The sequence below is a fragment of the Homo sapiens genome, chromosome 5, assembly GCF_000001405.40.
Source record: "Homo sapiens chromosome 5, GRCh38.p14 Primary Assembly".
Lineage (NCBI taxonomy): Eukaryota > Metazoa > Chordata > Mammalia > Primates > Hominidae > Homo > Homo sapiens.
In genome coordinates, this window is record NC_000005.10 from 154,315,643 (window position 1) to 154,342,322 (window position 26,680).

Sequence of the window (26,680 nt, forward strand, 5' to 3'; positions counted from 1 at the left end):
GGATTGGCGGCCCTGAGTCAGAGTTCTGCTTCTGCCCTAAACAACTGTGGCCAGGTAAGGGGCAATCATAGAGCCCACCCAGGACTCCTTCTTCAGCCAGGGCTGTGGGCTTGGTCATTTCTGTCAGAAGGGAAGGCATGGGCAAGGTAGGCCCCATGACTGACCTGATCAGCATATAAATTCCTTGTTGGACCAAGATGGTACCTGATGACCCTCCTGTTTACAGAGCACCAACATGTTCCTTTCTTATTCACTTCTCAGCTCAAACCTACAAGTCCATTTTATAAAGGAAGAAACTAAGCAGGTGTTTGATAACTTGCCCAAGGCTATATAGCTAATAACCTTTGGTCTTTTTGGCTCCAAGTCCATACCAAACTACTTCTGAGAAAAGAGAATGAACATTGAATGGACATCATCAAGCATATTTAGGGCATCCACATTTTTATTAGTGGGAGTTTTTAGTTGCTGAAGTTCATTGAATCTTCTTGAAGATCCCACTTCTCTAGGCTGTGTGGTCAGCCCCCCATGGACTTGCCAAGCCAACAGGCACCACTTGGAACATAACAGCAGACACTGGCTCCTTTAAACTGTGTCTGATTTAGATTTGTTATTTACATCCAGGGTCTCCAAAAGATTTTCTCTTTGTGTTGGGACTAAACTGAGGAGCCAGGTCCACCTCCCAGCTGGCCACGTTGTCTGGGATCACCAAGCAGCTCCTCTAAGCCTCACTACCTTACTTGGAAAACAGAAGGGTTGGACGAGGCACCTTCCAACTCCAGTTCAACTCAGCAACTATTCATGGCGTGCTTGTTGATGGCAAGGCACAGGCCTGGGCATGAGGCTGTGCCACTAATAACACTTCAGTCTGTGCCTTTCTAGGCTGTTTTCATTTTGCTGTCACTTCACAGCCATACACAGGAAGGCAGAAAGAAATTATCATAATTTATTACTGTTTATGTTATTTGCTTGTCCCCCACAACCCTGATTAGACTGTGTATCCCACGGGACAGGAACGACAGCTTGTTTCCTGCCATTTTAATTCCAGGTCTTAGCATAGTGTCTGTCACATTGTAAGTGCTCAGTATTACGTTTCTTGAATACATGAATGATGCAAGGCAGTGAGCAAATGAGAATGTTTTGAGTCATGAGCTGGCCAAAGCCTGAGGTACCAAAAGTGGGATTCTTGTCTACTAGAGCAGAACTCTTCAGTGAAGCCTTACTGAAGCCCCATGCCCTTCCTGGGATGGCCAGCCCTGATTCTGAGAGAACTGAAATCAGGAGCTGTGAAATCTTTGCTGTGAGTTGTCCTCCACATTTACCCATCTCCAAGAACAGCCAGCTACTTATCCCTCCCCATGGCTGTTTTAAATGTACTGTCTCACTTGGTTCTCATGACATTCTCATGGTGTTACCATCCCTATTCCATAGATAAGGAAACTGAGGCTCATCATGGGATAGGAACTTGCCGGGGTCTCACAGTTGCAAAGGAGCAGAGTCAGGATTTGAACCCAGGTCCAGAGCATTCTTGCTCCCTTAGGCACATACAATATTGGGTTTGTTCAATTGACTTACATTTCAGTTTGATCTGTGGATGGTGTCCCATGCCAGGGAATTGAATGTATGTTATAGTTCCCTTTTAAATGATTGGATTGTTCTATTTCAAAGTTTACTCAGAGAGAAGATTTTTGAAATACTTCTCTTGTATTTTGACTTTTGTTTTCTAGTGCTCCAGCATTAAGCCCTGATGGTACATCTTAGTATATTATATATGTCTCTGTGTCCCAAGAGCTCAGAATCCTTTAGGGAGTGTTAAATTAGGAGCTGTTTGGTCACAAGCAAGCTGAGTTATCTCCCTTTCCTCCCAATCCCATCATGGCCCTCTGCCCAGGTCACTTTCTCCTGGTCGGTGAACAAGCAAAGTTCTCCTATAGCAGACAGAACCTGCCCACTTCAGATCAGAGGTAAAGTCTGGGCAACAGTTGTGCCTCTTTGTCCTTCAGAAGCCATCGCTGGGTCCAAAACAGATTCATTTGACGGAATATACCTGGGGATTATCAAGTTAAATCAGCAAAGATTATTCTAGTTGTAAATGACAAAAAACCTAACTCAAACTGACTTAAGTAAAGAAAATGTATTGGTTTATATAACTGAAAAGGCCAGGAATAGACCTTGGCTTCAGTCATAGCTCGATCCGGGTCCCCGACTGATGCCAGTAGGAATCTCTCTCTCCAACTCTTGGCTCTGTTTTCCACTCTGTTAACTTCATTCTGAGGCAAGGAACAGTCCACATGGTTGCCCCAGGCAGACCAGATATATATCCTCCCATGTTCAATCTCAACAGAAAAGAACTTGCGTCTTTCCCAGTTGTCTCAGCAAAGACTTTCTCTGATTTGCAGGTGCCTGTCCTAGAACTACTTATAACGGGGCTGGAGAGGTGACATGCTATGACTGGCTAAGCCAGGCTCCTTTGGCCACCCTCAAGGCAAGGAATGAGTCAGCTCCACCCCAGCCCTATACAGGTGAGGTGTAGGAGATTCCCCAAGGAAAATCGGGTTGCTGCTACCAAGAGAAAGAGAAGAAATGCAGACTTGCCCATTCCCTCATTGACATAAAAGGAAACTGAGGTCCAGCTGGGACCTCAGTTGCATGGATTGTTGACTTGGATTGTTGCATGGCAGAGCAAAGGCTAGAAGCCACGATTTCAAACACCTACTTAGTTTCCTCAATATTTGCTTTTTAGCTAGTCATTCTTTTTTGCTGATACAATTAATAGGATTGATAAATTATCCCTATAAAATACTAATATATATATATATATAAAAGACAGATGGGTTTAAATCTGGACTTCATTCCTTGCCAGCTATTTGACCATAGGCAAGTTTCTTCTCTCTATCTTGTTTCTTCCTCTTTGTAATGAGAATTATATTCCCTACATTGTAAGATTATTTTGACAATTAAATGACTTAATGCATATTAAGTGCCTACAGCACTGTCTGGCATATTGGAAATCCTCAACAGATGTTTTCTATTATTGTCATTGTCACTTTCTGCCTTATTTTTTAACTGCTTATCAGCATTCCATAGTTTGAATTTTTCATCTTTTATTTAATCTTCCCCTATTGGTGGACATTCACTGTTTCTGCTCTTTTCACTATTTCAATGTGTGTCAATCAACATCCCCAATTGTGTGTCTTTGTCCCTGTGCTGTACACCTCTCACTAAGCTTTGCGCATTCAGGGTTGAAACCTAATCAGACCATAAACCAAAGGATAGTGAAAGTGCTTTTGCAACAGAGAAAATGTTTCCACCAACTCTCAGTTGCAAAATTCTAAACTCCACAGAAGTCTCTTCTTTCACAGTACCTTTGGGGGTCAGAAGTATTGATTCAAGAGGGCCTCAACATTGAGGTTGTGTGCTGGAAGTTTCAGACTACCATTGCTTTGACCCTCAGCTGGACCATCACTCTGCCTGGTCCTGACCCCAGAGAGACTCTTCCAAGCACCTCAGGAGGCCACGCTGCATGTGGAAGCCCACAAAGACCTGGATGCCATCTAGGGTGAGGGAAACAGAGGGAGGACACAGAAGAGTCTGTGTGCTTTATGCCATGTTGTAAAAACAAATGCACATGTGCAGAGGAGAACACAGAGAGGACACATCCCAAATGTTTAGCAGAGATCAGCCCCACATGTTAGCGGCAGGACAGTATGTTTGCTATTGCCAGTTTTCCTTTGAGCCCCTCTGTCTTCCAGACTTTTGTGCTTAGCAATGATCACTTTTGAAATTTTTAAAAAATATTATTTTAAATAAATACTACCTGGATTTGAGGCCTGAATCCAACTCATTTACCCCTCTGAGCTCCATTTTCCTCATCTGGAAAATGGGGTTAACACTCTCTGCTTCATCTCCCTCATTTGAATATGGTACAGATTAGAGGAGAGAGAGGGAAAAGTGCTCTCTAAACTGTCAGGCGTAAGCCATGAGGCAGCAGAGGTTATATTGCCTGGCCCACAGTGGTAGCCATGCCCAGCCTCTTTGCAATGGGAGCAGTGCCCTAGGCCCCTTTCCCTGTGGCTCCTTTCTGAGGACATGTGGACAAAAGGATGCTTCTTGTTTATCATACACAAAAGAACAGGGCACACTCCACCATCCAGTGTTGAGATCCTAAAACACAACATGTAGACAAGTCTTAAGTGGGGCTGCTAAGATGGGAGTGTCACTGGTGTGAGTGGCGGCTTTCTATTTTCTTCTGTGTCGTCCCCAGGTCCCCTTTGTCTGCTGTGATCTGCAGCCTAATAAGAGGCGGAGAAAAGGGGCTTTGCTTGGGCTCTCAACTGGAAGGTGGCTTGTGGGCAGGTCTATAGAGCCAGGTACCCTGCTGGATACTGGAGAGATTAATTTGAGCAGGTCACACAATTTTTTATTTAAACAAAGAACCTCTACTAAGCTGGGACCAAACTAATGACTAGTGCTCATGGCAAAAGTCGAATTTAAGTTTTGTGTTTATTTAGGAAATGAATGGATGGATAGAGGAGGGAGAGAAAGAGAGATCAAAAAAAATTTAAAAGACAGGCACACGTTCAGGGCTGTGATCCAAGCTGAGCCTTTTATTTGAGTTCTGAATAATCTTTAATTCCATGATTGAATTAAATTAGAAGTGAATTTAGTCTATTGTGGCTTTGTCTACTTCCCTTAATGCATGATGGTGTTTGTGTGTCTAACTGCAGGCTGTGGGGCCCGGCTCTGGGCCTGGAGTGAGTGAGGGCTTTCTGCTGTGTAATAGCTATATTGTATTTCACCCGTGGACCCCAGGCAATTTATTATAGCTAACACCCCACCCCGCCCCCAACCCTGCTTCAATCAAGCAAGCCTCCTGTGAAATTAGATGTTAAGGCAGGAACTTTTGTAGAAAACCAGATATCACCAGTCTTTCTTGGCCGCAAAGGATTCAGCTGAGTTAAGGAAAGGGGATTTTTAAGAAGGGGTGGTTTCATTTATTTGTGAAGGCCAACATAATGAAGTTGGAGCAGATTCCCAGAGAATGCTGGATGAAATGATCAAAAGGATTAGAGAGAAGGGGAAAGGGCAGAGGAAGGCTGTGTGGGGACTGGATAAAAAGAGGCCAGCAAGATGGTAAAGCAAGAGAGGATGTGAAGGAAGTCTGGAAGGTCCCAAAGGGAGAGAGGCTGACTTTTCCATCAGAACTGGACTACTGGAATCAGGGGAGTCCTGTTCACACAGCTGGAATGAGCTCTCTGCCAGATGCAACGGTTAAGTCAGGGCAAGGACATATCTTCCCTCCCACAGTTTCCCTTGGTGCCTCTAGCAGAGGTACAATTTGAAACTAAGAAGTCTCTGGACTCTGACCTGTTTTTTCCCTCAGCATTTCTTTCTAAAAATTATCAGACATACAGAAAAATTGAAAGAATTATACAGCGAACACCCATGTTCCCATCATGTCCATAATTAGCATTGGTTTACTTACTTGATCACATCTCTATCTAACCCTCTCTCCACCCCTCAATCCACTATACGTTTTGATGCATTTCAAAGTAAGTTGCAAAGTGACTCCTGCCCATTTTGACAGTTGAACAGTAGATTGCAATGGCATACAAAGAGACTTTGTTGTTACATGCATTGCCCTGAGATGTCACAAGTTTCTCCTCAAAACTTTTTTTTTTTCTCCTTGAGACACGGTCTCGCTCTGTCACCCAGAGTGCAGTGACACAATCTTGGCTCGCTGCAACCTCGTCTGCCTCCCAGGCTCAAATGATCCTCCCACCTCAGCCTCCCAAGTAGCTACAACTACAGGTGCCCACCACTACACCCGGCTAATTGTTTTTTTGTTAGTTTGTTTTTTTTATTTTTGTAGATGAGGTCTCACTATATTGCTTAGGCTGTCTTGAACTCATGAGCTCAAGTGATCCTCCTGCTTCAGCCTCCCAAAGTGTTGCGATTACAGGTGTGAGCCACTGCACCTGGCCACCCCCAGAACTTGTTACCAGTCTCTGGAGCCCCTTCCCTTGATGCTTTTTACTTCCAGGCTCTCAGATTCCAGCATCGCCAGGGATCTGGGAGCTAACATGAGGGAATGAAACAGCTGAAGCTGCCCTGGTGTGAGGCTGTGGTGAGAGCCGAAGTGTCTGGAGAGCACCTGCCCCCTAGACAGCACCTGCCCCCTAGAGAGGGGCACCCACTGTCACCTCCAGCCCATTGCTGTTGCATGAGACTCTGGGGTCAGTGTTGCCCAAGTTTAAGAAAAACCAGAAATGAGGGGTTTTGTATGGAATCTTCCACTTTTTAAATGTTTGCAAATAATGTTTACACCCTGGGCAAAAGGGTATCAAGGACGACTCCTCGTGTATTTGTTTTCTATAGCTGCCATAACAAGTTACCATGGATCTGGAAGCTTAAACAACACAATGCATAATGTATTCTTACCATTTTAAACAACATAGAGGTATTCTTACAGTTCTGTAGGTCAGAAATACATCATGCGTGGGTCTCACCAGGCTAAAATCAAGGTGTCAGTGGCAGGGTTACCTTCCTTTCTGGGAGGCTCTAGGGGAACGTTGCTTGTCTGGGTTGAGGACTGAGGCTCCTGTTCCCTGGCTGTCTATCAGCTGCCGACTGTTCCCAGCTGCTAAGAGCTGCCCATCTTCCTGGGCTCACGACCCTTTTCCTCCATCTTGAGAGCCAGCAACCGTGGGTGGAGTCCCTCTCGTAGCTCAAATCTCTACTTCTTCTGTCTCATCTTTTAATGCAGACAGAAAGGTTCTCTGCTTTTAAAGACCCCTTGTGATTACATTGGGACCACCTAGATAATCCTGGCTCCTCAAACCCATCTCCAGGTCCTTAACCTCAATCATGTCTGCAAGGCCCCCTTTGCTACATAAGGTACACATGTTCACAGGTTCCGGGGATTAGGGCATGGCCATCCTTGGGGGCTGCTACTCTGCTTACCATGCCTGGTTTCTGGCTGGAGACACAGGTGGGCAGTTGTTCTTTCTGAGCCTGCCTGGTCCTCAGGTTCCCTCTTCTGGGCCTGGGAAAATTCCCTATCCTCCCACAGGAGCTGATGTCCTCAGCCAGAGCTCACCATGTTGGTACAATTCCTGAGACTCCCCCTCCTGCCTGGATCCTGGCCTCCCTGCAGGCAAGGGCAAGAGCATTTCCTGCAAGAGAATCACACTGCCCTACAGCTACAAATCAAGAGATACGGAGACAAAAGAACTTGGGATATGGTATAAAAAGACTGAAGTTGAACTCTGGTATCATTTATTCATTCAGCAAATATTTATTGATCACTGTGTGCCTGATACTGTGCTAGGCTAAGCATAAAAATTTCCCTCATCATGGAGCTTACATTCTAGGGAAGAAGACAGACAAGTAAACACCCAGATAAAATACATAAAGTGCAATGAAGAAAAGCATAGGGTTCTAGGAGATTGAATAGGGCTCAGCAAACTTTTTCTGTAACGGGCCAGATAGTAAATGTTACGGGCTTTGCGGGCCACATGGGGTCTCTATTTAATAGTCTACTTTGATTTGTATGTTGTTTCGTTTTGTTAAAACTCTAAAAGTTAGCCTGCCATGGTGGCACCCACCTGTAGTCCCAGCTACTCAGGAGACTGAGGTGGGAGGATCATTTGAATCCAGGAGTTTGAAACTGCAGTGAGCTACGATTGCACCACCACACTCCAGCCTGGACAACAGAGTAAGACCCCATTTCAAAAAAAAAAAAATGTAAAAGTCATTTTAGCTTGAGGGTCACACAAAAACAGGCTGCCGGATTTGGCCTTCGGACCATAGTTTTGACTGATCCCTGGGACGGAGTATCAGGAGGGACCTACCTACAGCTGGGGAAGGAGGGGCCAGGAAAGACTTCTGTGAGGAGGCAACCTTCAAGCTAAGATGTGGAGATATGAGGAACAGCCAGCCAGGCAGTCAGGTGATGTATGTAGCGGGGGCAGGTATGGACAGGGAGGTCAGGGGAACCCCTGCTCATATTCGAGGAACCAAGAGGAAGCCCTATTTTTTGGTGCTTCTCCACCTCGGCAGGTTCCTTCGCCTCATTGAGCCTCCCTCAGCATCCCTTCCTCCTCGCAGGCTTGTCTTGAACATTATCTGAAATCCTGTCAGGTACTGAAACCAGGTATGGCAGGCAGAATGCTGCTACCACCCCCTACGATGTTCAGTGCTTCAAGCCCCATTACAGGGGCAGGGCTGTGTTACACTGTGGAGTGCCGCAGCACTGGGAATTCCACCTTCTCCTGGCCACCGCCTCTGCCTTGAGCCTCAGCACCTTCTGTGAAATGAGGATAGAAGCCCTGCCTTGCCTGCTCCCTGGGGCTCTGGTGAAAATTTGGATGTGAAAGTGGTCTGTGAATGTCAGCCTCATGGTTGAGAGGGCAAGCTCTGGGGTGAGTACCAGGTTCAGAGCCTACTGTTTCTAGTTGTGTGACTGCATACATTTCTACACCGTCTCTGTGCTTCAGGCTCATTGTGTGTAACATGGGGAAGGTAATCATGCCTTCCATGTGGGGTTCTGTCAGTGCTGAGTGATAAGGCAGCGCTCTGTGCAGATGCAGTGTCCCCAGCTGCTGGCAGGAGGGGCAGTGGGCAGCTCACAGCTGTGCTTCCCACTGGGAATTGCCCTAGACAGCCTTGCTGAAGGTTATGCCCCCTCCCAATGACTAATTGATGCTTGGATATAAAGGCCAGGCTGCTTGTCTCACTCTAGGACCACTTAGAAAGGCCTTCTCAGCTGCAGAGTTCCTGGTAAAATGGGCCAGGGGCTCACATGCAGCCACATGGGTGCAGCCTCTTCCTCACTCCTCTGCCTGTCTCACCTCTTTACAGGTGAATCTCCCCAGAGTGCCTCCCAAGAAGCCGTCAAAAAACAATTTTCACCTCAAGATCTGTTCCCAGGGAACCCAATATCTACCAGTTATGGATGTGAATATTTTGGGGTAATGATTCTCAAATTTGAGTGGGCATCAAAGTCACCCAGGGAGCTTGATAAAATAAAAATTGCTGGGCCCCACCCTGAGAGTTTCTGAGTCAAGTGGTCTGGGGTGGCCAGAGAATCCGCATTTCTAACAAGAACCTCTCGGTGATGCTACCACTTTCAGAATCACTGTTTTAGAACTCAGTAAGTTGCTGCCCTCCTCTTATTCCTCTTCTGAACTAAAGCTAAATCATAGAGTTTATTGAAATGAAATTGATAAACCTTATTTCTGTAAAATGTTGTGGTGTGACCAAATCGACTTGCTTAGAAAGAAAAAATGCAAGGATCAACCATAAAATAAAATGGAGTCCTAGAAGGAGGGAAAAAACAAGATGGAAGATTAGAGATAAAAGCCAGAAATCATTGGATTACTTGGTTTTTGGATTTGACTTGGGAACCATGTAAATATTTAATATAATTATAAAAACAAGATTAAGTCAAAACTAAATGCAGAAAGCAATCCCTAAAAATAAAGAGCTAAATGAAATAAATGAGCCCAATGTATGTGAGTTGGTGGCCTAACCGTGCCTCTGAGAGGAATTGTTTCAAGTGACTTAAAAACATAAAAATTTGACTGTAGATTCCTAGTTATATATATGCTAGAGACAAATATCTTAACTTTTCTGTAATCATACTCTTAGCCATAATATTGGTATTGTTTTCTGAAACTATTATATATTGTAGAAAAAAGCAAATAAGTAGCTATATTAATGTTAAGAATTTATATTTTTAGCAAAAGAGATACAATAAAATCAGACAAAGACATAACAACTATAGACCAGCGTGCCTTATAAGTATTGATGCAAAAATTCTCAACAAAATACTAGCAAACCATATTCAGCAATATATAAGAAAGTTTATACACTGTGACCAAGTAGGATGTTGCAGGAATGCAAGACTGGTTCAATATATGAAAATCAGTGTAAATACATCATATTAATAAAATAAAGGACAAAACTTACATAATCATCTCAGTAGATGCAAAAAAAAAAAAAGCCATTTGACAAAATCCAACACTTCTTTTTCGAGGATTAAAACACTCAGCAAACTAGGAATAGAAAGGAACTGCTCCAAGCTGATAAAGTGCATCTGTGAAAAACCCACACTAACATCTTACTTACTGGTGAGAGACTGAAAGCTTTTCCTCCTAAGATCAGGAACAAGATAAGGATGTGTGCTCTTGCCTTATGTTTAGCATTGTACTGGAGTTGCCAGCCAAGACAATTAGACAAGAAAAAGACATAAAAAGTCATCTATATTGGAAAGGAATAAGTAAAATTACCTCTATTTGTAGATGACATTATCTTGTACCTAAGAAATTCTAAGGAGTTTATACAAAATTATTAGAACTAATAAATGTGCTCAGCAAGATTGCAGGATACAAAATTAATATACAAAAATCAATTGTATTTCTACACACTAGCAAAAAAAAAAACCTGAAAGTAAAATATACATTTACTAGCCATTTTTCCAGAGAAGATGTACAAATGGCCAATAGGCATATGGAAAGATACTCAACATCATTAGTCATTAAACCATAAGGAGATACCACTTCACACTCACTAGGATAGCTATAATCAAAAAGATGGACAATAGCAAGAATTGGTGAGGATGTGGAGAAACTGGAAATCTCATTTCACATTGCTGGTGGGAATGTGAAATGGTGTTATCACTTTGGAAAATCATTTGACAGGTCTTTACAAAGTTAAAAATGGAGTTACCTTTGACCCAGCAATCCAGCTGTTTGCTATGTACCCACAGAATTGAAAACATGTCTACATAAAAACTTGCACATGAATGTTCATATTCATGTTATTCATAATAGCCAAAAGGGGGAAACAGCCCAAATATCCATTAATTGATGAATAGATAAATAAAATGTGGTGAATTCATACAATGGGCTATTATTCAGCTATGAAAAAGAAATGAAGCATTGATGCATGCTACAACATAGATGAACTTTGAAAACATTACACCAAGTGTGGCCAGACACAAAAAGCCTCAAATATGAATCCATTTATATAAAATGTCCAGGTTAGGAAAATCCATGAACACAGAAAGCAGATTAGGGATTGCTAGCAGCTAGCTGGCAGGAGGGGAAGATGGGGAATGACCGCTAGTACACACAGGGTTTCTTTAGGAGTGATGAAAATGTTGTGGAATTAGACAGTGGTTATATTTGCACAACTCTGTGAATATATTAAGAACTACTAAATTATAAAAGAGTAACTTTTATGGTATGTGAATTATATCTCAATACAAAGGAGATACAATATAAAATTAGAGTTCAGTAAAACTCAGTAATTCTATATGTTAAATATAAAATTTCTGCTTAAACTCATAATGTATTGTTTAAAATATATTCATACCAGCCTGGGCAACTTGGTGAAACCTTGTCTCTACAAAAAAATTCAAAAATTAGCCAGGCAGAGGGTGGCGTGCACCTGTAGTCCCAGCTACTTGGGAGGCTGAGGTGGGATGGCATGAACCTGGGAGATGGAGGTTGCATTGAGCCGAGATTGTGTCACTGCACTCCAGCCTGGGTGACAGATTGAGACCCTGTCTCAAAAAAATAAAAAATAAAATATATTTGTAGTTCTGACCACTGGAAAGGCATAGAAACTATAACCAACCTAGTAGTAAGGAACACCCTTAGTGCTCATGTTGCAGCATCCGAATGGTGATATTGATGATATGAAGGATTAAAAGTTCTTTGGCAGAATGGCTGATTCCAGGTTAGGGCAGGAAATGTGTGAGTTAAGCCTGGGGAATATTTTCGTATCTTTTATCGTAAAACAAAGAAGCTATCAGTACTCTGATCATGTCCAAAGGACTCAGGAACCAACCTGAGAAGACTCCTTTTGGCTAAAGATGGGTTTATTTGGGAACCAGTAAGAATAATAACTGCATTTGATTGAAACACATTAATTATGTTTCCATTTGTGAGTTAACATAATTGACCATCGTTGGAGGATGCTGGGGAACCAGCTCATTCTAAAGACTTGTAAAGAATCAAGAACTTACCCTGCCTTTCCTATACTTTGGGGTGAACGAATAGTTGATGTGGTAAAGTTTTCTCTATAGAAGAATTTCAGCTGGTAAATGAAGATGGAGTAATAGAATTAGAATGTAATCGTTTTTCAAACTCCTGATGAAATAAAATATTTAGGCATCGATTATCACAAAAGGAAAGACAACTGGACACAATGTGTCTCCTAAGGGATCCCTGTACCACCACCTTTGAAGAGGCTGTCAGAATAGCTTATTGAATTAGGTCAAGCTTATAGATCTAACTACCAGTTTACAAGAACTAAAGGGGGACAGACAGAGGAACAGTTTAAAGGATACCACAGAGATGCAAGCAGCAAAATGCAGACTGCAGGGACTCCTATAAGATAAATAGCCCAGTTTCTTCAACAAACAAATCGAAGGGGAAAAAAAAAAAGGAGGGCAGAAGCTTATGTATAAAAGAGACTTAGGAGACGCATGAGCTGTATGCAGTACGTGGACCTTGTTTTGATCCTGTATTAAACAAACCAACTATAGAAAGACGTAACATCAGGGAAATTTGCAAACCAACTAGATGTTTGATGATATTAAGGAACAATGTTAATTCTTCTGGGTGTTATAATGGTATGAAAGACGCACAAGGGGCAGGGCCTTCCACCCCTAAGCTTACCGTGGGGCTGGTGGAGACTAGAGCCCAGGGAGAGAGAGGAGGGGCTGAGCCATTGAAGCCCAGTTTATTCTTCCAAACTCATGGATAAATCATTTCTCCTCCATTGGAGAGGAATGTGTAATATGAAAAAACAAACTCACTGTTTTTTCCTCTCTGTTCACACATGCAACACAGAATACTTCTGTGACCAAATGTGTGGGGCAGGGAGGGGGGCTCCCCGACAAGCAATTCTCCAGCACCAGCCTGGTGTCCTGTGATTCAATTCAATTCTGACACTACCTACCTGGAGTTAGAGTCAGATCCCACAGGTAAAGGGATTGGTCCCACAAGATTATCCCTCACCCCCAATCTTCAGATGCCATTTGCAAATCCAGACCTTGGGTAATTCTGACCAGCCGGCTGTAAATTGGTGGTTCCCCTCCTTAGATTTGATTATCTGCCAGAGTGTCTCACAGAACTCAGGGGAACACGTTTACCAGTTTATTATGAAGGATATTAGAAAGGATACAAATGAACAGCCAGATGAAGAGCTGCATAGGGCAGGGTCTGTGGGAAGGACCTCCTACATTCTTGTGGAGGCCTCATCACATGGCATGATCAATTATCATCATGATCTCCAGCTCCTGTCCCCTTCCTGGAGGATGGTGGGTTGGGGCTGAAAGTTCCAAGCTTCTAATTATGGCATGTTCTTTCTGGTGACCACCCCGCCTCCTGGAGCCCACCAAGAGTCACCTCATTAGAACAAAAGATGCCTCTGTCACCCAGAAAACACCAAGAGATTTAGGAGCTCTGCATCAAGAACTGGGGTCAAAGACGAAATATTAGAACATAAGATTTTCCTAGCACTCCTTTTGCTTAGGAAATGACAAGTTTTAGAAGCTCTGTGCCAGGAACCAGGGACAAAGACCAAAGTCTATAGTTCTTATTATAAATCACAATATCACAGCTGGACAGAGAGGCCAGAGTGTTACTGTAGGGCAGTCCTCCACATGAAATCACAACTATTCAAACTCAGGGAGGTCTTTTATACATATCCGCGTGTGCTGTATATGCAGAGATTGGAGGTAGGACTTTGGGATGTCATGTAGAAGTTCCTGTGTGACCAAGGTATCCCTGGATTTTGCTCATTCCCTAAAGACTGGAGAGGAAGTGGGGTTTGCAGTTAGCCAAACCCTGTGCCTGAGTTCTCTTGGCAGGAGGAGAGCTGACCCTGTCCTCTGCCTCCCCTTATGTTTCCCTCTAGCTGCAACAGCAAGCGCTACCTGGAGACACTTCCCAACACAAGCATCATCATCCCCTTCCACAACGAGGGCTGGTCCTCCCTCCTCCGCACCGTCCACAGTGTGCTCAATCGCTCGCCTCCAGAGCTGGTCGCCGAGATTGTACTGGTCGACGACTTCAGTGATCGAGGTAGGATCCGTCCCACCCAGCCTCCCACCCTCTGTGCTTCATCTGGCGACTCACCAAAGGGATGGCAGGTTTTCCCTTCTTTAGCAGCATCAACATATAGGCCATCATTGGCTAAATGCCTGGACGTTGCACTGTGCACACATTTTCTCATTTAATCTTCACAACTCATGAAGTGACTGCCATTTTTATCCCCTGCATATCTGTTTAGAAATGTATTAACTGCAAAAAAAAAAAAAAAACAGAAAACTTGATAAACAATAACTCAAACAAGTGTAAGGATTCATTCACTTATCTGTCTCTATCTATTTATTAAATATTGCATAACAAGAGATCCAGGACTGGTACAACTGGCTGCTCAGCGCTGTCATCCAAGAACCAGGCTGTTTCTTTGTTTCTGCTTCCTCATCCTCATGGTCACAAAATGGTACCTCTGGCAAGTCTGCCTTTCAGGCAGGGAAAAGGGTGGAGAGCAAAGGGCACAAAGCCTTCATCTGTCAAGGTTTTGCCTTCTAATTCAGGAAAGTGTCCTGTAGACTCTCAGCCAGATCTCTGACATCTGGGCACCCCTATCTGCAAGGAAGGCAGGGAATGTGAGTGTTTTGGTTTGTGGCCTCTTTGGTGAGTTAGGAAAGGGAGAAGTGGATTAGAGATGTCAAGTAAGCCCAGCTGGGATTGCAGTGTCTGGCACACCATTTTACAGATGAGAAAACTGAGACCCAGAGAAGTTAAGTGACTTACCCTTGGTCACACAGCTCTCATGTAGTCATGTGGTGACCGAACCATGTCTGGCCCCAAGCATGTGATCTTAGCTACATCCAGAGCCTCTTAGCTGTGAGTCTTACCCTGTGGAATAACTCAGTCTCGGGTTTAAGAGACACAGAGATGGGGCCAAAAGTGAAATCTAAGAGGAAATTGCCCTTCAGCCAGTGGCCTCAAGCTTATTCTTTGCATCAAAGCTTTCACCAATTGCAGCAAAATTAAGAGAAGCCCTTTCCTCTGCTCACCTTCTTGCAGAGGCACTAATAAGCAGTGAAGAGAGGGAGTATGCGTGCACTCCAGAATAATTGCAGCTGACAGTTTCAGGAGCGGCTCACCTGCCCATCGCCCCGTTTTAATACCGCACTCTTAATTACATGCGTTTAGTACAGAGGCCTCAGAGAGACAGAGAGGGTGTGTGTGTGTGTGTGTGTGTGTGTGTGTTTGTGTGTGTGTAGACATTTAACTCAGTTCTTACCCGGTCTATAAAGTCTTCCCTAACTCTTGACATACACTCATTCTCGTGCTACCCTTTACGTTTCCTTCCTTTTCCTTACCACTTATCACAGGTGGAATTAAAATACATATTTGTGTGAACATTGGTGTGTTGTGTGCCTCCCCTACTAGACTGTCTATTTTGATTGCAGGGACTACCACATTGGTCCTGTTCACCACTGATCCCAGCTCCTTAGGCATACAGTAGGTGCTTACTACGTGTTTGATGAACCAGAGCCTGGTTCTCCAGTTTTCTTAGTACTTCCACCCTGGAAGTACTAACAGTAAGCCTTGAGCACACTATATGAGATTTATCTGTGTCCACAAAGCGAGGCCTATGAGCCTGCTGGTGGTGGGGGTGTGCCTTCCTCATCCCATAGTCCTGCTGTTTGGCAGAGAGCCTGGCAATATCTATATCTTTGATCCTGGCCCTGCTACATACTATCTCTGTGACCTTGACCCAGTCACTTCCCCTTTCTGAGCTTTAGTTCCCTCATCTATAAAATGGGATCACAATAGTACCTACGACCTCTTAGGTGGCTGTGACTGTCAAATTAGTTAATAGATGTCTATCAAGTGCTTAGGACAGTACCTGGCACAGAGTGAACATTAAAGATAGACATCTGAGCTTGTTATCATTTCTGTTGTGGACATTCCTTATGGTTGGTGTGCAGGAAGGGGAGTCAGGGATGAGTATACAGAGGTGCATGTACAGGACGGATGTGTGGGTGCAGGTATGTCTTTCCTTTCTGTAGGGAAGAAGATTTTTGCAAACTGTAAAACACTGAGCAAACAGTCTCTGGTCTCAACCTCCGCCTAAAATATGTCCCTGTCCCTTCACCCCTCTCTTTATAATAGCAGCCCCCATTTTGGGGAGAAGCTCAATATGCCAGGCCCATATATTCTCTCATTTATTCTTGACAGCAGCCTCTGAGGGAAGCCTTGGGGTCCCTCCTTTCAGATGAGGTGCCCAAGCTAAGTAATTCGCCCAGAATCACAGGCCATGGAGCAGTACCCCTAGGTCTGTGGATTCAGCACCCAGACCCTGGGTCCTCTTCTGCCTCTTGCTCCCTCTCTTCTGCTTTCTGTTTCCCAGTCTCCTCTCCCAGCCTCATCCTTCTCCCAGCATGAGCTGCCACCCACAGGCCAAGGGCTCACAGCTGGGCAGCAGAAAGGGAAAAAAATGAGCGAACTGCTCAAGTGATTGATTTTCTGCAGCATAAACAGCCTCCACCACCTGGGGACAAACACCTGAGCCTTCCCTCAGGTACGGGCTGCCTGCTCTGAGCAGGCTCCTTGTTGTACTCCTTCTCAGGGCCACAGCAGTGGCAGTGAGGGCTGCGCTCACTTTCTCACACTCCCCAAAGACCCAGCCACAGCAGGGCTCTCTGTCCTGGAGCACAGCACACACCATGCTCTGTCCTGCCTTGGGATCCTGTGCCCTTCCTCTGCCTGAACGCCCTCTTCCCAGTTCTTCCAATGGCTGGCTCGCCTCATCCCATCATCATTTAGGCTGCACCACTACCATTATTCACCATGCTGCATGCGCGGTTACATGGCTGTTTGTTGAGCTGTTTATTCATTGTCGGTCTTCCCCCACTAGACCACTTGTGGTCTGGAAGGAGGTGATTAGTAAATGTTTGTGAATGAGTGAATAGATGCATGAGGAGGGAGGGAGGAAATGTATGGCAGCTACCCATGCATACAGAAAACCATCACCAGCAGCAGGGCCATCTTCATCCAGCAAGACAGATGTGGCTGTGGAAGACACTGCAGTTCTTGCAGTGACTGGTGCTGGCCCGCATCTGTGTTTTCAGGCTCGGGTCCCTGTATGTAACCTGTTTTTCTGAAGCACCAGCTGCCCTGGGGTTGGGCTTGTAGCACTCAGCAGGATCCCCCTCTGGGTATCACAGGGCATCCGTCCTTCAGACATGGAATAAACCAGACCTCAGCCAGATTCAAAACAAGCATCTCTCCTTGTTCAGTTAGAAAAGAATTTCAAGATCATCTAGGCCCGTGACTTTGTGCCTGCTCCTCAGAGCAGCAGAGGCCCCAGAGAAGTCTCAGGAAACGCTGTGAGAAGTATGGAGAACCTCACAGGCACATGTGGGGTTCAGGTGCCTCTCCTGGTGTGGTCTGTATTTACTTTCTGAAAAAGTGTTCACTAGGGGGAGTTACACTGCTAAAAGAAGTATATGAAAACCACTGTGTAACTCAACCTGCTCATTTTACAGATGGGAAGCCCGAGGCCTGGAGCAGTAGGCAGACTTAACCAGGAGCACACAGCCAGCTGGTTGCAAGAGAGGGACAAGACCCCATATCTGGGCCACAGTGCAGCCTTGTCCCCACTCGCCTTGGGTGGTTAAGTGACACATCTGCAGAAACACGTTATTCCTTTCTATTTCCAAGGGCACTTCTTAATAAATTACTTTCCCATTGTATTACGGTGCAAACTTTTTGCCGAAAAGAATTCATTATCAAACATGATTAGTCCTGACCTATAATGGTTTGTACCTCTAAATATCCCAATTTCCTCAGTGTACATAGTGGTAAAGATAACAGAATAACCCCCTCCCCCACCAGTAAAGTATAACAGTCTTGACAAAGAAAAGGTACACTTCATAACAAGATCATTCTCTAAGTGCATCTGTTTCTCCAGAGAGCAAAAATATTAATTCAATGTGGTGCCATACCCAATCCTAAAAAGATAGAGAAGAAAAATAATACTGTCCCATTTCACAGATGAGAATGAAAACCGAGGCCCCCTGATCACTGCCCCCTTTTCTCAACCAATTAGGCACCCAGCCCAGAGGAGGACTCCCACCTCACACCCTTCAGACTTGCACCTCAGCTGTCATGTTTTGCAGCCTGCATTTTTCAGAAAAGCAATCATTATTCTTGTTTCAAGAAGAAATTCTCAAGGCAGCTTTGGAAGAAAACTTACTCAGCAGTGATTGTTTTAAAAACGAGATTTGGGAGAAACAATTTCAGAATTATGGAGAGGCCTGTCTAAAGTACGGCAAATATGGACCATCCTACAAGATAGATTTCTCTGGGCTGCATTAGCAGAGGCTGTTCTCAGAGCTGAAATTCATAGATGCTAACTACAAGCTAGATTGGCACTGCCTAGGAGAAGGCATTTTCCTCTGAAATGAATCTCCTCCAGGATCCTCAGGGCAACTAATTGTAATTCAGCTAAGGGTCGAGACCTCAGGTAGGAGACAAAATTGGAGCAAATGAATTCTCGAAATAAGATCCAGAGCTTTGTGCAGGCAGCATCAAGGACTCGAGTGGAAGCAGAAGCTGACACCAGAATAATCCTGGCCCTGCTTACAAATAGAACACTGCACTTTGCCAGGGGTCTCCACAAGCTCTTCAAATGCATGAGCTTTGCTCGAGGATTAGGAGAACATTGAGGTGTTTTTGCACATGTGGAAGGGAAAGATGGGCGTATAGGCTGGCAGACCTGTCCCCGGGTTGCACTGCCTGGGTGGCATGTTTTTATGAGGAAAAACAAGAGAGGTCTTGTTAATTTGTTTGTTTTTATTCCTTTCTCCTTAGCCTCTCCACTTTCAAACAGTGTTGTTTTTCCAGAAAAATTAGTTATGTGGTAATGGAAAGAATTACTGTGTTTGGATTAACTAGAGGCTGCCCGGAATGATGAGGTACAAAAGTGACAGGCTATGGTATGATCTCATTGACAGCATTTTCTCCAGCTCAACTGCCTTTCTACAAACAAACACATGTAGGAAATGGTTCCCAGCAGAAGTTCTTAGCAGGTGTTTGCAGAGCTGTTGAAAAGTTGTTGCAGTGATTGGTGCTGGAAGGAGTATAGACAATGCTGGGCCCGTTAGTTCACATGGTAGTGAGCTCACCTCACCCATGAGGCCAGGGTCAATAGTCCTCTTCCCATAACGGGCTTATTAACTCTGACCTGCACTCTCACACCATGCCAGTCATGGGAACACATCACGGAAATCCATTTTGCCCCATCCCTCTTTGCATTTCAACACATCACTCTTGACACTGCCCAATAAACCTCTATTCCCCATTTCTTGTCTTCTCTCCAGCAGCCTTAGTTTGCTTCTGACACCACCACAACTTGTTAGCATGGCCATTTCCCACTTACAGTTTATTGCTTGGGTTCTTTCGCCTTTTTGAGTTCTTTTGCTGCTTATTTTGTTTTTCTCTACATCTGTTCTGATTTATCAAAGTAATTCATATTCATGTATTCAGCAGTATTCATGACATGACTCTGTGCCACATGCTGTACTTTGTGCTATGATATAAGAGGAATCAAATAGGCTTCCCTCGACAGCTCCAGTAGGCCTAGAGGAGGTAAGGGGCAGTTGTAAGACCGTGAGACCATGAAATACGTGCTACCTGGTGAAAGTCCAGGCAATGTAGAGTACAGAGAACAGCAGGGCAGACTTTCTGGAGAAAATTCCAGCGAAATTTAATCCAAAGTGTTGTAGATATTACTCCCTGGGGTTAGGGAAGGGAAGAATGTTCCAGGCAGAAAGAGCAGGACAAGCACAGGCTGGGAGTCGAGGAGAAAATGTGGGAAATGCAGGAAGAGCCATCCATAACCTTATCACTTGGAGGCAATTAGTATTAATATTTAGGCTTTTTGCCCCAGTGTTTTTTCTTTTAATAGACCTTATTTTTTAGAACAGTTTAGGTTCCCAACAAAACTAAGTAAAAAGTAGGTAGGTCCATGGCCATACTACCCTGAACACACCCAATCTCATCTGAAAGTACAGAGAGTTCCCCACTGTCAAAATCCCATACCATAGTGGTACATTTGTTACAATCCCTGAACCCACATCAATACATCACTTTCTCCTAAAATCCATAGTTTATATTAGGGTTCACTCTGGTGTTGTACATTCTATGGATTTGGACAAGTGTAAAATGACATATATCTACCATATGACGTATAGCATCATACAGAGTAGTTTCACTGCCCTAAAAATCCTCTGTGCTCCACCTGTTCATCCCTCCCTTTCCCTAAACCCTGGCAACCACCAATCATTTTACTGTCACTGTAGTTTTGCTTTTTCCAGAATGTCATGTAGTTGGAATCATACAGTATATAAAACCTTTTCAGATTGGCTTCTTTCACTCACAAATATGCACTTAAGATTCCTCCATGTCTTTTTATGGCTTGATAGCTCATTTCTTTTTAGTGCTGAATAACATTCCATTGTCTGGGTATACCACAGTTTGTTTATCCATTCACCTACTGAAGGACATCTTGGCTGCTTCCGAGTTTTGGCAAATATTAGTAAAACTACTATGAACATTTGTGTACAGGATTTTGTGTGGACATAAATTTTCAGCTCACTTAGGTAAATGCCAAGGAGTGTGATTGCTGGATCATTTGGTAAGAGTATATATAGTTTTATAAGAAACTGCCAAATTGTCTTCCAAAGTGGCTGTACCATTTTGCATTTCCACCTGCAATGAATGAGAGTTCCTGCTGTTCCACCTCCTCGTCAGCATTTGATATTGTCAGTGTTTTGGATTTTGTCAATAGCTGCTTAGTGGTCTCTCACTTTTATTTTCACTTGAATTTTCTAATGACATATGATATAGAGCATCTCTTTGTATGCCTATCTGCCATTTGTAAATTTTCTTTTTGTTCTCAGTGTTTTATAATTTCTGTTTTCTTTTTCCTACCCTCCCAATTCCCCTCCAGTCCCACCCCACTGAGGAAATTCATGTTTGCAGTCTGGTATGTATCATCCCAGACCATTCTGTATAATCATACTAACATATAGTAACATGTAATAAAAAGAACTCATGTTTATCGAGCTTCTACTGTGTGCTAAGTGCATTCACTCTTTTATTATCACAGCACTATGGTAGGTTCTGTCATGCCTAGTGTGAAAACCATACTGGCCTCAATGATATCAGACCTCTTCTTTCTACTTATAAATTTAATATTTTTGTCCCTATTTTACAGATGATGAAACTGGGACACAAGTAAGTTGCTGATGTGTACTTAGCTCAAAGAGACAGAGCTTTGATTTAAAACCATCCATTCTGATTCTAGAACCTTTACTCCTAAGCTTTACATGCTTTTTCCCCCATTTATTAGGATCATACTGTATACGTTACTTTACAACTATTTTTTTAAAAGACACATTTATTCAGCGTCATGATCAGACTATTACATTTAGCAATCAACAGCATGGGTGCAAAAAAAAATCAACATTAAAACCCTTTGTTCGAATGCTTTACACTTTCCACAGAACAGGGACTAAAGTAACCTGTTATACAGTTAATCACAAATACAGTCCTTGAGTTTTTTGCCCATACACATGAATATTTGTCTAAAACATGTCTTCTTTGTAGCAGCTGGGCTCTGCCACCATTGTGCTTGGCTGAGTTCACAAATCTGATATAACCTGTAGCTTCCCCGTCACTTCTCTGGCTATCCTCTCCTGCTAAGCTTTGTTTTCTTGCAGTAATTAAAATCTCCTGCCACTGCCATGGCTACTGCTGGTACTAGAACTGCCATAGGCACCTTGGTTTCATGGTTTGGCGAAGTATTGGCCTCCATCACCATAGAGGCCAGAGCTTCTGCCTCTAAAGTTTCCTCCCTTCATGGGTCCAAAATTTGAAGACTGATAGTTGTAATTGCCAAAATCATTGTAGCTTCCATCACCTCCAGAATCGCTTCCATCATTACCAAATCCATTATAGCCATCCCCACCGCCACCATATCCACCACCACCATGGCTGCCACCAAAGCCACCACAACCACTGAAGTTTCATCCATGACCAAAGTTGTCATTCCCACTAAAACCACCTCCACAACCACCACCAAAGTTTCCAGAGCCACTTCAGCCTCTTGGGCTGGATGAAACACTAGGTATCTCTTGCTTTGACAGGGCTTTCCTAACTTTACATTTGTGGCCATTCACAGGATGGTATTTCTGAATGACAGTCTTATCCACGGAGTCATGGTCGTCAAAGGTTACAAAGGCAAAGCCCCTTTTCTTGCCACTGCCTCGATCAGTCATGATTGCAATCACTTCATTTTTCCATACTGTTCAAAATAATCTCTTAGGTGATGTTCTTCAGCATCTTCTTTAATGCCACCAGCAAATATCTTTTTCACAGTTGAGTGGGCACCTGGTCTTTGAGAATCGCCTCTTGAGACAGCTCTCTTTGGTTCTGCAACTCTTCCATCCACTTTGTGTGGCCTTGCATTCATGGCTGCATCCATCTTCTCCACGGTGGCATAGGTGGCAAACCCACAGCCCCTGGAGTGCTTGGTGCTTGGATCTCTCCTTACCACACAATCTCTGACCATTCCCCATTGCTCAAAATGCTCAAAAATTTGAGGCTGAGATTTGAGACCTCAGGCTCTCATCAGTTGTTTCAAAGCTCAACCCTCCAATGAAAAGTGTCCTCAGCTGCTCGGGCTCTTTAGCAGACTCTGACTTAGACATGATGGCAGTGGGAGGAGACTTTAATGGTGCTTCCTCAGTGGCGCCCATGGGCAGAAAGCTACAATTTTTTTTTTCTGTTAATGTATCACAGCCATCCTTCAGGTCAGTAGTAGAAACAGAGCAAACCCATTTGTCTTTTAATAGCTAGATAATATTCCATAGTGGGAATCTACATTTAGTCCCTTTTTATGGGCACTTTGTGAAGTGAACATTTAATCATATGCAACTTTGCATCCTGGTTTCTTTCACTTAACTTTTTACAGTCCCTTCCCCTTGTCATTGTGAAATGACTACCCATCTCTTCTTCTTTGAGACAATGGTGACATAGAGACAGGTGTCAAGCAAGACCAGAATATCAGCTGTATTGTTGCAGAGGCTGATCCAGAGAACACAACATGAATCTCTTTGTACCCCTTATCTTCTGAACTGACTGACCCAGGGACAGGCTTAGCAGGTATGGAACCATGGCCTTGCTGGCGGGCAGTGTCGGCCAATAAGCATGGCACAAGGAGGACAGATAAAGCCAGCCGTGCAGGCACAATGACTGTTTTTACTTCAGCCTGTCTGGCCTCACCTCCACAACCTCCCTTAGAGGTGAAATAGTTTCCCACTATGAAAGTACAAGGGCAGGGGAAGTGACTTCTGTTCCAGATGATGAAGCTGAGGCTTGGAGAGATGGTTGGGAGGTGGCCTCAGCTGCTTACCTACCCTCATAATCATCTCCTCCTCATTGGGAATCACATTGACAGAAGAGATTGATCATCCCCACAATGGGCTCAGTAATCTTAAGAATCCCACATCTCAAGTATCAGTCTCCAGGGTGCCTTACCACTAAGGAAATCTACAGGCTTTCTCGATTCTCTTCTCCTTTCATATCTTTGACATCCTAAACGCTTCTCCCTCAGACTCCAAAGGAGAGAACAGCTAAGAAGATTAAAACTGTTACAGAATATCAATTAGTTTATAATGAGGGAAATCTGTAAACCTTTTGGTGGACATCTGGTAGAAACACAGGATGCAAGAGTCAATATATCTATGGGATATTTTGTGCATCTTAAAAAAAAAAACCCAGGATTTTGTGAATCAAGTACTGTATAAATGATTTACTGGGAGAGCAAAAAAAAAAAAATCAAATAAATCGCTCAGATTGCATCTGAAGAATCAAAAGCTCCAATGTTTTGGAAAGAGTTGTTTCTGTAGTGGAAAATAGCTGCATTATATTTTCAGAAAGGTGATGCTTCTATTGACGTGGGTGAACCTTCTACATTTTAAAAACTTGGTGCAGTAAGAGTGTGGTAAATCACGGATATTCTCCTGATTTTCTTATGAGGATTAAAGTCTAACCTTTTCCACTGTTTTAGTGTTTCCTTAAAAACATAGTGTGGGGGAGTAAAAGCCAATGGAACACAAGACTGGGGAACCTTGGATAATATCCCCAGGGAGAGGGCAGAGGAACTGCCCCCTTCTGTCATAGTCTTCCTTAGGAAAGCTCCTGGGCCTTCCTGCCAGCTGAGGCCGGATGTAAATTCTTATCTACTCAGGGTTTGAAGAGAGATGAGATTTGAGGCTGAAATAAAAGTATTAGGTTGGTGCAAAAGAAATTGTGGTATTTGCCATTACCTTTCATAGGAAAAGCCACAGTTACTTTTGCACCAACCTAACAGTAGCTTCCTTAATAACTAACCTGCTCTAGTGCACACCAGCCAAGTCCTATTCCCATCATTCACATTCTCAAGCTCAGTAAATGGGGAGCTGAAAGTGCTCATTTGCCTGTATCACAGAGGGAAAAAAAGCAGTGATAGCAATAATAATAATGCGACACAGCACCTATATAGCACTTTCTATGTGCCAGGCACTGTTGTAAGCGACTTAAATACATTATGTTTCACTTTATAGGAAGCCTCTTTATAGACAACATTTGCCTAAAGGAAAAATTCACATTTAGTAGAGCATTCAAACCAAAATCCAAGAGATTCCCCTTCTCTGTGTGCCCCGCCTGCTAAATAAAACAAAAACTTTTAAATAGTGATATGAAATGGCTCCAGCATGACCTTTGATACATCTCTATATGTCTAATAGGTATGTTCTTCTGTTTTCATTTATTATAAATCCTCTAAATAATGTTGGTTCTAGCAGGTAAATGAAGCACGTTGGCCAAAAAGTAGGCATTAGTTCTAAGCTACTGCCTGACCCAACCCACGGGCAGCCTCCAAGTAAACCCATTGCAAACAGAGATACTTCAGAGCTTCTTCCCAATTTCCTTAAAGAACTTCCAGCCCCTGAAGCTTTCAAGAACATCTTTATCAGACAACCACAACTCCAGAGTTAATTATGTTTTGATTTGAATCTGGAGGCACCTTTAGAGCTGTTTACATCAGAGGCTTAAAATGCTACCAATTTTCATAGCCAAAAATAGGCGACAGTTGACAACTCTAAAGATCAAGAAGGCCAAATATACACATTTATATATCATTTATTTATTTCAAATTTTTTTAAAAAGAAAATTCCACCACTGTACATTAATATAGTGTTCATGGGTATTGAAAGTTTAATTTCTTTTTTCCCTCTTTTTCTCTTGTTTTACTGTCTCAAATACTGAAATCTCATGAAAATGGAATTTTTACATCATTATAGAGAACAAAGAAATAGACACGTGTTAAGGCCAAAGTAACATCCCTTCCTCTCGTGTGATTTAGTGACATTAGTTCCTGTAAAGTATTCACAGATGCAGGCTGCCTTTTCCAGCCTTTGGGGATCCTCAATGTTCACTCAGTTCCTTCGCCTAAAAGACAAAAATGTTCATTCCTCCTAGTATAATAATAAAATTATTTTATCTGCTTACTTTATAAATGCAGACCTCTTCAGAGATGCCCACCTTATTTATAAGCAACCAGGAATCTCAAAATAACCAATAACTTCCTGTCATCTCCTATTTGTCCTCCATTCCTGGGCTTGTTAATGAATGAGATTTATTGGGCATTGTTAATAATCTGCAATGAAGGTGAAAGCAGGTGGAATTATAAGGCTATGCTTTCTGTCCAGTCTTCTCAGAAATTGTCTTTTTTTTCCTATATGCTGTCAGAACATATGGTTTAGAATATTCTAAATAATAACCTCACTCCAGGCTCTGTTAATAGAAAACTCAAACTAACAATTACTTCCCAGAGCCTCCACACCAGCTAGCAGATTTGTCTTAACCAGGCAAGAGGAAAGACTAGCCCTGACCCTTCACAGCATTCACGTTCTGTTGCCATACGACAGAACTTGAACTCATGAAGGAATGAAAATGACCTGTAAATAGACCTTCTTCCTGAGCAAAGTGATGCCGAATATTCTTTGTAGTAGACACAAACCCCTGTGTCCTTGCCCCCTTTAGGCTGCAGGGGGATGGAGAACGTAGTCAGGATGCCAGCTGGGTCCTAAGTCCAGATGTGCCTCAGACCAGTCCCACCCCGTCCTTTCCCCATCCCATGAGCCAGTACATTCTCTTCTTATGTAAACTAGTCAGAGTTGATTTTCTGTCAGGACTAACCCCAAAGCCATAAGTACTGTCTTCCCTTTTGCGGGTTGGGTGAGGACTGGGTAAGGTACTGCACCGTGACAGGGCCGGGCACATGGTCATCATTCCTTCAGTGGTTGTTGTTAATGATGCTGTTGTTATGGTGATGCTTGTTATTATTACTGTTACCTGAAATGCTGCGCTACCCTGTCTACCTCAAAGTCTCATTATGGGAATGAGATGAAATTAAAAATGCAAGATTAATGAGCTAAACGATGCAATGAGGACGTACAAGAGGGTGCTGATTTTCACAGAAGGAGAGAACCCTGAGGAGAACTTTCTAGTCTGGTGGCCGAGAAAAATGTGACCTT

At 43.4% G+C, this 26,680-nt stretch overlaps 1 protein-coding gene and 1 pseudogene across 1 annotated transcript in view, besides 1 other annotated feature; one reads left to right on the forward strand and one right to left on the reverse strand.

The window, feature by feature from the left end:
* Positions 1–26,680, forward strand: part of GALNT10 (polypeptide N-acetylgalactosaminyltransferase 10) — a 230,252-nt gene that overhangs the window by 124,910 nt on the left and 78,662 nt on the right. The window contains exon 4 of the mRNA NM_198321.4: positions 13,930–14,096. Coding sequence (NP_938080.1) covers positions 13,930–14,096 — 167 coding nt within the window. The remainder of the gene's footprint in view (positions 1–13,929; positions 14,097–26,680) is intronic.
* Positions 3,256–3,375: a silencer, noted in NCBI's record as "silent region_16539". NCBI's record gives its function as "represses an Ori minimal core promoter by ATAC-STARR-seq in GM12878 lymphoblastoid cells {active_cell/tissue: GM12878}" and the evidence as "EXISTENCE:reporter gene assay evidence [ECO:0000049][PMID:35858748]".
* Positions 21,905–22,789, reverse strand: HNRNPA3P7 (heterogeneous nuclear ribonucleoprotein A3 pseudogene 7; annotated as a pseudogene).